General features: G+C 39.4%; 1 protein-coding gene across 3 annotated transcripts in view, besides 1 other annotated feature; it reads right to left on the reverse strand.

The window, feature by feature from the left end:
• KLF12 (KLF transcription factor 12) overlaps nt 1–12,364 on the reverse strand; it is a 619,957-nt gene that overhangs the window by 479,092 nt on the left and 128,501 nt on the right. Inside the window, exon 1 of one of the 3 annotated variants that reach the window (XM_011534909.3) lies at nt 2,969–3,146. The exons of the other annotated variants lie outside the window; for them this stretch is intronic. The gene's annotated coding sequence lies outside the window, so the exon portion shown is untranslated. Of the gene's footprint in view, nt 1–2,968; nt 3,147–12,364 lie in introns of those variants that run through there. 3 annotated transcript variants of the gene reach the window in all.
• Nucleotides 10,335–10,836: an enhancer, noted in NCBI's record as "NANOG hESC enhancer chr13:74749652-74750153 (GRCh37/hg19 assembly coordinates)". NCBI's record gives its function as "activates a minimal SCP1, AML or CMV promoter by ChIP-STARR-seq in naive H9 embryonic stem cells {active_cell/tissue: H9 hESC(naive)}" and the evidence as "EXISTENCE:reporter gene assay evidence [ECO:0000049][PMID:30033119]".

The following is a 12,364-nucleotide window of genomic DNA, read 5'->3' on the forward strand; positions in this document are numbered from 1 at the left end:
TCAGTGTACCCATAAAAATTAAAAATTAAAAAGTTTTAAAAAATGGAATCATCAAGGAACCTGACTCTTTTCATCCTTCAACTTTGTCATCCTCAGTGGGCTTTTCATATTTTCTTTTCTTTTTTTTTTTTTTTTTTTGAGATGGAGTCTTGCTCTGTCACCAAGGCTAGAGTGCAGTAGCGCAATCTTGACTCACTGCAGCCTCACCTCCTAGTTCAAGTGATCCTCCCACCTCAGCCTCCCAAGTAGCTGGGATTACAGGTGCCTGCCACCATGCCCAGCTAATTTTTGTACTTTTAGTAGAGATGGGGTTTCACCGTGTTGGCCAGGCTGGTCTTAAACTCCCACCCTCAACTGATCTACTCACCTCAGCCTCCCAGAGTGCTGGAATTACAGGAGTGAGCCACCACTTCCGGGCTCATATTTTCATAGTTGCACTTGTTCCGTGGTTGCAAGATAACTGCCACATCACCAGGTTTAAATCTTCACATCAACATCACAGACAGGAGGGGATAAACTACTACTGTATTCTTTTGGAGGAGGAAGGGAAATGCCAGGTTTCCCTGATGTCTCATTAGCTACAACTCCTTCACATGCCACCTCTGGACCAACCATTCACAGAAGAGAATGAGATTATTATGAATGGCCTAGACCAATCATATCTCATTCCTTGGGGCTATGTTAGGATCCCACATTGCCTGAGGTTAGAGGACCTCTGCCCATTGCAAAATCTAGTTTCTGTTTGCAGGGAGGAAAGATATAATGACTACTGAATGGTCAACTCACAGAAAGACTTGTTACATCTATGAGATCTATTATGTATAAAATCTGGAGAAAGTGTTTAATTGCTGGTTGTTAGTTCAGGATGGATCGATTGCACAGGATTTTGAACTAATGCATAAACACCTTTTTTTTTTTTTTTTTTTTTTGAGATAGGGCCTCACTCCCATGGCCCAAGGTGGAGAGCAGTGGCGCGATCCCAGCTTACTGCAGCCTTGACTTCCCAGGCTCAGGTGATCCTGCCACCTCAGCCCCCGAGTAGCTGGGACTGCAAATGCTTGCCACAATGCTCAGCTAATTTTTGCATTTTTTGCACAGACAGGGTTTTGCCATGTTGCCTAGGGAGGTCTCAAACTCCTGGGCTCAAGGTGATTTGCTGCCTTGGCATTCCAAAGTGCTGGGATTATAGGCACGATCCACTGTGCCTGGCCAAGACCTGCTTTTTAAGACCTAAAAGACACCCTAAAAGATAACAAATGGAATGCTCTATCTAAGGATGATTCAGAGACTGAAAGCTTCCAGTAAAATCATGTGTAAGACTGCAACTAACAAATGATTGCCAGAAGTAGATACTGAAGAGTGGAATGATTACTCCTACTTAAGTAGCTCACTCCCATTAGAAAACCGACATATAAGTTCTCCCGATGTCATTTTTTATATTTTCCCCTATCTACATGTATTTTTATTACTTATTTTCTCTTTAATCCTATTTCTGCATGGATTTCCCCCCTACTTTTCTTTGTCTACTAGACTATGACTCAACCTCTACTTGTTCTAATATTAAATACACAGCGCCACACATTTGATGCTTACAGTAGTTCATTGGTATTCTTCTGCACCTTCTTTAACCTCTTTCAAATATATGCTCAAATAATTAGCTCTTCTCCCACTGAAGCTGAGTTATCTCACTGATTTATATCACCCAGGCTTCTATCATCTTCCTTCACCCAAGACGCACACTTTGGTTTTCTCTGTTCTCTCGCTGTCTTCAGAAATATTTGTGACTGATATTGTGCCTTTGTAATCATGCAGAAGCAAGTGTAGACAAACAAAACCATATTTTCTTCCTACACAAAACTAGTGCTATGTATTGATCCTTCTCTCTGCTCACCTTGAACTCTTTCATTCTAATAAATTCTAGTCTCTACTTTTACATTCACACACTTTGACTCTGTATCTTGTTTATTTTCATTTTATTCTTTGCCTCTTTATCTGTCCAGCTAAGGCATATAGAGATGCTCAAGCAAAGAATGCATTAAAGCATAATTTAACTAGCTTCCATGTGTCTAGCAGGTTCTATGGGGAGAGGAAAGCGTTGGAACATCTGGTATAACTCACTTTTTTGCTTCTAGAGGTCAAAGGGGATAGGACAGAAGAATAGCTGTTTAGTATTAGGTGTAAGGGAACCAATATAAGGTCAAGTGGAAATAGCTCCTTTTCCTAGACGCTGTTTCTAACTGGATTTAGGGAGAAAATAAAATAAACTGGAACAGTTTGGTTCTAAAGAGAAATATTTTTAAAAATCTACTTTCCCACCTCCTCTCCACATCATAAAAATTTTGATGGGATTCAAAGTGAAATGAAACGTTAGCAAAGATCTGGTGAGTCTGAGGTATTTCAAACATTAAGCCCGTCAATTTGGTACTGAAATGAATCTCTCATTTCTCTAAAAGGAGCTAATATCAACCAAGTAGCTAACATATGCCAGGTACTGTGGTTTTATACTTAATCTCGTGTTTAATTTAATCCTCTGCTGAATTCAATCCTCCATTGCATTTCATTGTTCCTGATGTCTACATCGTAAAATCATAACAGGTCTTTTCTTTCTTATTATCAAAACAGCAATGCCTCATTAAATGGGAGCAAACAGGGTACTTGTTAATTTACTTAATACATGCATATAGTTTATAAAAGTATACATTAAAGAATGCAAGACACTAAAGTTATCATGAGCATGTCTTAAAAATATGAAATTAAAGTGGAAGAATGTTTAGACAAATTGGCTAAAATCCTTATATTGTTCCCAACTGGTACATTTTTACAAGAAATCTATTAGAATTCAAAATTTTCCAAAATTAGTTGGAGGGATTATAACAAAAACAGCGTGCATCTTTCATTTCCTATATAAATTGAGGTAACTATCATTATATGAACTGGCTTTAAGCCAATGAATTGTAGCAGTATTTACCTGATCACCCATCAAGGCTTTGAAACGGTGGCTGTTTGAATTCTTTGCATCTCTGGCTGTGTTAAATGGTATCTGTGAGCCATTCTTTGCCCGTCTTCTCACAGGGGACCCAATATGCACAGCTTTAGCAAGGGGACACCCCCTTCAGCTGCTCTGCAGCCTGCTCCTGTCCTCTGACCCCTAACTGGACTCTGGCTCCATGTCTTATCTCCCTCTCCATATTACAACTTTCTTTTGGCACAGGAGTGCTTGGCTGTCAATGTTTACTTGCGTGTGCCTAACACTGACTCTGAGCTTTGACTTCTGCCCAGTCCTCATGCCAACCTGGGTGCAACAACTTGTGAAATAGTCCACTGGTGATATTCGACACAGAGACCATGTGCCTCTTGGTGAAAAGATCAAATCGTTCCCCAAGTCTGACCTAGTGCTGGCTGAAAAGGCTGGGTTATATTCAGCAAACACAGTGACTGCAGTGTGTGAGCCTTCTCAAGGCTATCGCTGGCAATTTAAAATGAGGCATGCTATTAGAAATGGAAATAACGGGTGGCAAAGAGTGAGTGAGTTAGGAGGCTGCTGAAGAATGTTTGTGGCTTTTGTTCAGATAAATCACCTATAAACAGTTTACCAGCTTCAAGAAGGTGGGTTATTTTGGCAATTCTAATCCAGAAGATACTTAGAAGATAATCGGATGCCTTTGGGAAGAATCAAAGAAGAAAAGCTTTTGTGCACTAATGTTACAAGTTCCTATAATGTGAAAGTATTAGGGATTGAAATTCATATTTGTGGAGTATTGTTGCTGCCTTGCGTTTCCTGGCTGTGCAGAGAGTACAAACCAGCCGTGGCTGGAGACAGCAATGCTTTTAATGATTTAGTTACCTTTTGGTAGCTTCAAAGCAAGAGTCTTAGATTGTATAGTTTATTCTCAGGAAATGGGTTAGTGTTTGGGAACTTTAAAAAAAAATCCATGTTATTGACTAATTATGGACGAAAGTATTATTAAGAAAATAATATTACCCAAGAAAGTATTTTAATAGAATATGGCTATGACTTTCAATGATATTATAATATTTAGAATATGCAATTTATGATGTTATTTGTGGCTGCAAGAGTTCTGTTCAGATAATAAAATAATAATCACTATTATTATGTATCTACTTTTCACCATCTAACACTAACATTGTGAAAAGTACGTCACAAATGTGATCTCATTTTTGTAGTTATTTTATTCCTGTTTTATAGATGAAGACATTGATCCATAAAAAATATTAAACAATTGCAGAGCTAGAATTAAAATCCAGGTATATCTTATTCTATTTGTAAAATGGAGAGAATAATAACTAATACAGAGAGCAATTGTGATGATTAAATAAATCTATGTATAAAGAAGCATTCGGTAAGCTTTTAAAATGATATGCAACTGGTAGATGTTATTAATATTGCTGATAGGCTTAGAAATAAGCTACCACTCTTTGCCCTTGGATAACTTTTTGAAATATTGAAGTATATCCCTTTTACATATCCCATCCTCATACTGTGTAAATTAAGTAAAAGAGGAACTATAAGCTGACAAGAAAATGCCCCTGGATCATTGAGTTATGATGCAGAAACAAAAGATAATGCCTTGAATGGCGTTGAGGAGGAAGAGACACCATGAACATGAAGATTGTCTGGAGGGTGAGAAAGCCACTTGGGAGAAGGCTGCTTGCTTCAACTTCAGGCTTGCTAATTAGTTTTACAGAAAAGCAGCTGTGTTACACTGCCCAAGGGGTCAACAGCTGCACATTTTTCACTCCACCTTTATGAGAGTCAAATTGTTTAAAAGCAAACAAATATTGCCATTTTTTTTTCTAGAAAGCAAGTGGCAGATCCACTGCTATAGTCCTTTGCCTTCATCCTTATACAGCACATAATTTTTTAACATCCACATTTACACCTATAGACACTGCAAACCACAACCATTGATATTTATGATGATGAACTCTCAAATCCCTTCTAAAAGCGTAATTACGCCCTATATGATCTGCGCAAGAAGAAGAAAGTACATTATAGAAAGCATAGAGTATATTATAAAAATGGTTTTCATGGGAAATAATTAAAATGTTAACATTCTGCTCTCTGCTTTCAATGTCAGTGTCCGGAAATATATTTAATTAATATTTACATATCACTATTATTAGCTGTTAAAATAATAGCTTACAATTTATAAAGGCTTTTATATATTTAACACACTTAACAATCTTGGGAATTGGGCATTATTATCGTTATAAATTTTCAACTTCTTTAAGAATACAATACCAGAAATATACTATCCTTCCTCAAAGGAACTGATATTCATTCTCCTTAATGTAAACCACATATATGTACCCTTGTTTTGCCCTGCATTCCCTGGCTTCTAGGAACCTCAGATTCTAATACAATGAGTATGTTTGGCCATTATATCAATCTTTGTAGTTAGCATGCTTTCTCTCTTTCTTTGTTCTGGTTTTCTATTTCTGTTTCATCAGCCTCAGATGATTATTGCATATACAAATTTTCCTAATCTGCTTCACATGTTTGAAAAAGGGTGGTATGAGAGAGCCAATAAATAAATGAATGAATAATTTGGTTCCTAGTACCTTATTTTATTTTATTTTTGAGACGGAGTCTCACTCTGTCACTCAGGCTGGAGTGCAGTGGGGCAATCTCGGCTCACTGCTGCCTTTGCCTCCTGGGTTCAAGTGGTTCTCCTGCCTCAGCCTCCCAAATAGCTGGGATTGCAGGTGTGAGCCACCATGCCCGGCAAATTTTTGCATTTTTAGTAGAGATGTGCTTTCACCATGTTGGCCAGGCTGGTCTCGAACTCCTGACCTCAGGTGATCTTCCTGCCTCTGCCTCCCAAAGTTCTGGGATTACAGGTGTGACCCACAATGCCCAGCCAGTACCTTGTTTTAGAGATAGGTGAAGTTACATGAGCAAATTATAAAGCTCGTAATCGACAAAGCTGGGCCTTCAAACCAGGTCTCCTGATGCCAAATCCCATGTTGTTTCCAGAAGGATCCATCTCCTGAGAATAGGGGAGTTAAGATTTTACTGAATTAATGCCTTGCTCAAAGAGTGAAACTATCACATTTTCTGCCCAAGTCTGGTGCACTGTTACCTCCACTATCTTCTTGAGGGTCCTTAAGCTCCTAAAAAGGAAACACAAAGGAAGGCTGCTCTTGGCATTCTCAGACGTTCCACACATCCAGTTAGGAGACTGGGCATGTTTAAAAAAGTAGGCAGTGAGCGGAGGGACTCTGGAACTTCAATTTAGCTGCTAAACACATTCCCTCCCATCTCATTCTAAATAGGAGGGAAAACCGCTTCCTCCCAAACAGTCTATACATCTTTGCCTGTGGAGGCATTGCAGCAGCTGCCACCCGGTTCTCCCTGCAGCTCAGCATGAATTTTTCTCTTTGTTGGAAAGATGATATAAAAAGTCAATGTATTATTTATAGTAGTTATTTTCATCATTACATATTCACAATAATTGAAAGGTGGAAGTAGAGTATAATGAAATGGAATGGAAAGAAAATTGTCTCCAGTAACTTCAGAAACATTTGTAGGAAATGTTCAGCTGCTAAAAAGACTCCCACAAAATACAAAAAAACAAACACTGGATCTTAAAATACCATGTAAGCCACCCACATCTGCAAAGAATTATTTCTGTTGCTATTTATTTGTCCAAAGCAATATAGTTAGTGTATAATAGAACCTGAGGGAGAATTCTCAATTCCCTCCATGTTGAAGGGCTTGTAATGAAGTTGTTTACTCTCAGAGTGAGCATAACTTCTGATAATTGGCCCACCATTCTAATGAGGCTAAGACAGTAGGTTTTATTCTGACATTACTTCAGTCCATAATCAAGCACTATACCATTGACCCCAGCCAAATGGCTATCAAATATATGTTTCAGCTACAAGGAGAACTGGTTGAGACAATGTAGATGGATCAATCCAAATTTATTTTCCTCACGACACACACACACACACACACACACACACACTCTACTGACATGTGTTCCCAGTGCTGTCTTCATCTACAAAAGATAGTGTACATTTATCAGATATCAACAAGGTATTTTCTGTAAAAAGGCACTAAACTGTAGGTTTTCCATGTGTGATATGGAATATATGGATTGAATAGCACAAAAAAACCCTTTATTGGGAAAGAGGCTTTCAGATAAAAGTAACAGAAAGATCTTAAACACTAATAAAAATATATTATTCTATATAATAAGAAGTTTGGAGACTCTTATCAGAGTGGCTCCAATGCCAATTGATGTCATGGCTTAATGATATAATTGTAGCTGAAGTTTGCCCCATCTTTTGGCTGTTAACGCCCCTGTAGACTTCACCACAGTCCATCTGCCTTCATGGTCATACAGTGTTGGCACAGTTCCAGATATCTTATGCTTTCACAATAAGATCAAATGGAAAAAAGATCTCTTTCTCTCCATGAGTCTTTTTGATGAGTAGTGAAACCTTTATCTGAAGCCATCCCACAGATTTCCCTTTGTGTTTCATTGGCCAGAATGCATCACGTGCCTTTCCCCATACCACAGGCAATTGGAATGAGATGGCCCGGGTTGACTAAATAAAGTCAAGAAGAGCATGGGCGACCTGAATAAAATTTTAATTCTGCCCAAATGGAGGAAGCAGAGTAATTGATGTTGGGGTGGCAATAAAAAATACCTGCCTCAGGTCCACCCTTTTTCTGATCAACATCTAAATATATACCCTTCGTCCTATTTGTACTTGGAAAAAGTGCCCACGTCTACATGAAATACGCCCGTACCTCTCTGAAGGAACCCACAGTCTCATCAGACAATACCCATTCTGAGATTCTGGGGCTTTTAATTTTGACTTTTTCCATCATGGTGTGTGAACACATAGCTTAGAAACAAGTTTTTATTACTAGCATATCCAATAAAAATAGAATAAATGCTTCCCCTAAGCTTCCCTCACTCCCAAATCAACTCCAATTCTGAGAAGGAGACAACTGGAAATGATTGACAATCATCACTGGTCCATAGCACTTAAGTTCTTGAGAGCAGCAAGGACTTCCTACCATGCCAGTGGAGAAAGGAACCTTTTCACTCATTTGTACAGCTCCAGTTCTAGTCTCAGGAATAGTTTTTCTTTTCTTGGTTGTTGTAGAAATGGCTAACTTCTCTCCGAAGCTTCTTTCTTCCTTCTTTTGGGCATGCAGCTGGGCCACCTTTCCCAGCCCTTCTTGCATTTAGTTGTAGCCATCTAGACTGAATTCTATCTTATAGAATATTAGTGGAAGTGCCATGCATCACTTGTAGGCTGGGCTCCTAAAACCACCAGCCTGTGTGCTTATGTGCTGTTGTTTTTCCCCTTTCCACCTCAAGGCAGTGGAGATAGCTGATAAACTTAAAATATGTGTGTTGAATGTAGTACAACAACTTCTTTCAGCCTGGATCCCTGCATTACCAGATGGATGAAGCCTGCACCACCCACCTTTTCACTTGCTCAGTTCTGTTACATGAATAAGAAATAAATTCCTGTTGGGGTTTGAGACATTTAAAGATTTGGTCTTTTTGTTATGGCAGTTACCTTATCCAGACCAATATAATTCTCCTTTATGGCAATACTGAAGATGAGTATTGGGGAAAATGCCCTTTCTGGGGTTATATAGCTTTAGTATTTTATATCCAGTTGGTGGGAGTTTAGGAGCTCAGGGAATTGCCTTACTGTCTGAGAGATCATAGGCCATTGTTTATTAACCTTGGCCTTTCCTTGGTAATACAATTCCTGTACGAACTCAATAGGCTTCAGGTGCTTCCAGTCAATTCCATGGGCTAATAACACAGCCAACGATCTTTTCTAGAAATAGACTGTGAGTCTGAGAATTCCTGACTCCATTCCAGGGACTTCTACATGATGCCGGTCCTCCTAGACCTCAGATTAATGACCTCTGCCCTGAGTCAATTTAAAACAATAACCTCAGGTGGGAAGGCAATACCCATAATCCAATCTTTGCCATCTTTGTCAGGCAGAAATGACTTTATAAAAATTGTTTAGGACATGTCTGGAAGATTAGGCTTGTCTATTGGCTCAAATTTATCTGCTGCTGCTAAATTTCTTGCTTCCCTCTTTAAGATGGTACAGTCTTAGTCCTTTTTTTTTCTTTCTTTCTTTTCTTTTTTTTTTTTTTTGAGATGGAGTCTCGCTCTGTTGCCCAGGCTGGAGTGCAGTGGCGCGAACTCGGGCTAATTTTTGTATTTTTAGTAGAGACGGGGTTTCACGGTGTTAGCCAGGATGGTCTCCATCTCCGACCTCATGATCTGCCCACCTCGGCCTCCCAAAGTGCTGGGATTACAGGCGTGAGCCACCATGCCTGGCTGGTACAGCCTTAGTCTTAACTTACTTTCCCCATGGAACCCACTGAAAGGCATTCACTGATGTTCCTGCCACTGCCCCTAAGCCCGATGTCTCCCTAGGCCCATGGTCTGTGTTCAAGAGCAACAGATGGTTTAACTGATTGCTTTATAACCTCAAAAAAGTCACAACTTTCCAGCCACGTCTCTCAGTGCTTTCTACAGCACCTCTTCCATTTACGCATTTGCTCATTTTAGTTTGTTACTTTCAGCATCTCACTTCTGGTTCAAACATCTGCATCAGTAGGGTTTTTAGTTGCTAGAATAAGGAACCAAATCTATTTGATTTAAGGAGAAATTGAATTTACTAAAAGGATATTGGATATAAATCATATGAGATGAAAAACCACGATCAGAGGATATGTGGTCAGTAACAATGGCACAAATCACTTGCAGAACTGGCTGGGTGAGAACACAGCTTCCACTGCCACTAACCACAGCACCCTACAACTCACACTGCAGATGCCACAAGCATGGAGCCCCGGGTGCTGCTACTGTCACTGCCACCAGTACTGCTTTGGGAAATTAATCTTGCTTCCATAGCCCCTGCCACAAAAATAAATTTTTTTTACCATTGCACATTCAGATCCCAATATAAATTCTGCAAAGTTGCATCCTGTTGGCTGAGCCTAGGTCTTGAACATACTACTGACCCCCAAGGGAGGCTGCAAAAATGAGGATATGGCATTTGTTTCTAACTCTAACTTATAAAATGGGAACTCCCTCAGTTAGAAAGTGGCTCAGATGTAGGGAAGCCAGAAAGAATGACATGTATGTCCCACTGTCCTTTTCAGCAATTTGGAAATGTACTATCCAAACTTCTATTTTCTAATAGAGAGGTAAAACTTACAATCCATATCAGTTCATTCAACAATATCTTGTGCTTCCCATGGGTCAGACTCAACAATAAGTTGATATTCTGAGCTTTTCATGCCTTTGAAAAGGAGAGTCTCTTTTTCCTGAATCTCACCTCTGATGCTTCCAGGGGCATCCCTGAGATGAGACCCAATCCAGGGCCCAATATATTTCTTCAAAAGCTTGAGCCATCATTAAGAGTTTTCCACTGGGAGGTGCATATCTGGAGACTATGTAATTGTAATTCCAATCTACCTGGGTTGGAATTTTATGAGAGACACCAAGACAACTTCTTAACAAAGTTTACATATGAATGTGGAGCAAAGGCACCAGAGGGCTAACATTAGCTGTCCTGATACTTGTGGCTCAGCCTGAGCCAGGCTTCAAAGCACTTGTCCCAGTGGTTCCTTAAAACCTTGATGCCAGCTAATTCCAGGGTGCCTCATAACACATCATCCTTGCCAAAAAGGAACTCCTTGGGCTATCTATTCTTTCCATATTTTTATGCCAAGGATTTTCTGTGTTTCCTCTCCCCTGGGCAGCCTCCTACTATTCAATTCTCTTGCAATATTTTATATTTCCAAGAAATTCCACTTCATGATGAACAAAAATTCCATCATCTTAATCATCTTCACAGAGGACTCATTACAACTTCTTGAAATTGATTTAAACCTGGTTTTCTCCCAAGCATACAATTTCCCTTAGCCATTTCAACCTAACTTATTATTCCTCCTTATCAGCATTGTGTTGGTGCATGTGTGTGAGTGATATGGAGGGGGAGAGAATCCCCAGTGCTAGTTCCAAAACATTGTTCCTCCATCATTGTATAAATACTCCTTGCCCTGTGAGAGTTGAACTCTACAACTCTACTACCCTCTGTGCTTCCCAACAGACAATTTTCTACAAATACATAAAATTTTTCATTTGACTGACATTCTTTCTCTTTACCCCAGGTCTAGACATTATCCCGGAAGACTTCTCTGTCTAACTTTGGCAAATGCGCAACATTCTAGCCTCATGGTGCCCTGTCTTCCTCACCTCCAATAACTTATAACCCTCACCCCACTCCATACCCATGATCGTTCAGTGGGTGTTTTCTTCCCCAGGGATTGCTTTGGCACTGAAACCTTCAGCTCAGACTTACCATTTCCTCATCATGAGCTCCTGTTCTAGTATTTTCCCTCATTATATCCACTGCACTGATTTTTTGTCTGCATTGAGACATTCAGGTGCTGAATCTCGATTTTCTCTCAATTTTGTTAGCCTCTTTGGATTTTCATTTCCTTCCTTGTCCAATCTGAACTCAAGGACCTGCTAACTCATATTCTTATTTATACCGTCAACTTTCTTGCCTCATTTCACTTACACTTTTTTCTCTCTCCCAACTGCCCCAGAAAACCTCTGCTTTATATCAATCTGTCTGCTTTGTGAGCAACTCTACCTAGGTCCATATGTTAGGTGCTTAATAAATATTGAATTAATTAAATTAATTACACTTGCTGCATTGGATATTACCCTTGCCTCTCACCATTGTAGAAATGAATATTTTAACTTTCTTTGAGTTACTGGGAATCTGCCACAGTTGTTTCCCACTATGGCCAGTTCTAAAGAATCTTCCTTGATCTTCTCTAACAGTGCATTATTATTAATGGTCAGCTACCGGAAACCTAATTTATCTGAAGTAAATTAAGTGTAATTATGAATACATTTTTAGTAACTTTTCTGTTCTACGATAGGGAAGGAAGGTACAAAACATGAAAATTGACTTTACATCATCAGAGACACATAGAGCCCAGAGCATTGAAGCTGAGTCTTGAACTCTGAATAGAAGGTCTTCTGAGAGGGAAGGTGAACAAGAAATTTTAGGCAAAATTATATGTAAATTCAGAAGGTGTGAAAGTGTATGGTATGTTTGGAGAAGGGCTGAGGAAGGCAAGCCACATTTTATAAGTGCCTATTTTTGCCAGCCCTGCGTAAAGCACTTTATATATATTACCTAGCAAGCAGTTCAGTGAACTTGAAAATAGGGAGCCTGGAGGACGACGGTGATGGAAGGTGGTAAAATGAGGCCAGAAAGTTACCATATTGCAAGGTTCTGAAAAACCTTACATGAAATT

Source organism: Homo sapiens, chromosome 13 (assembly GCF_000001405.40).
Source record: "Homo sapiens chromosome 13, GRCh38.p14 Primary Assembly".
Taxonomy (NCBI): Eukaryota; Metazoa; Chordata; class Mammalia; order Primates; family Hominidae; genus Homo; species Homo sapiens.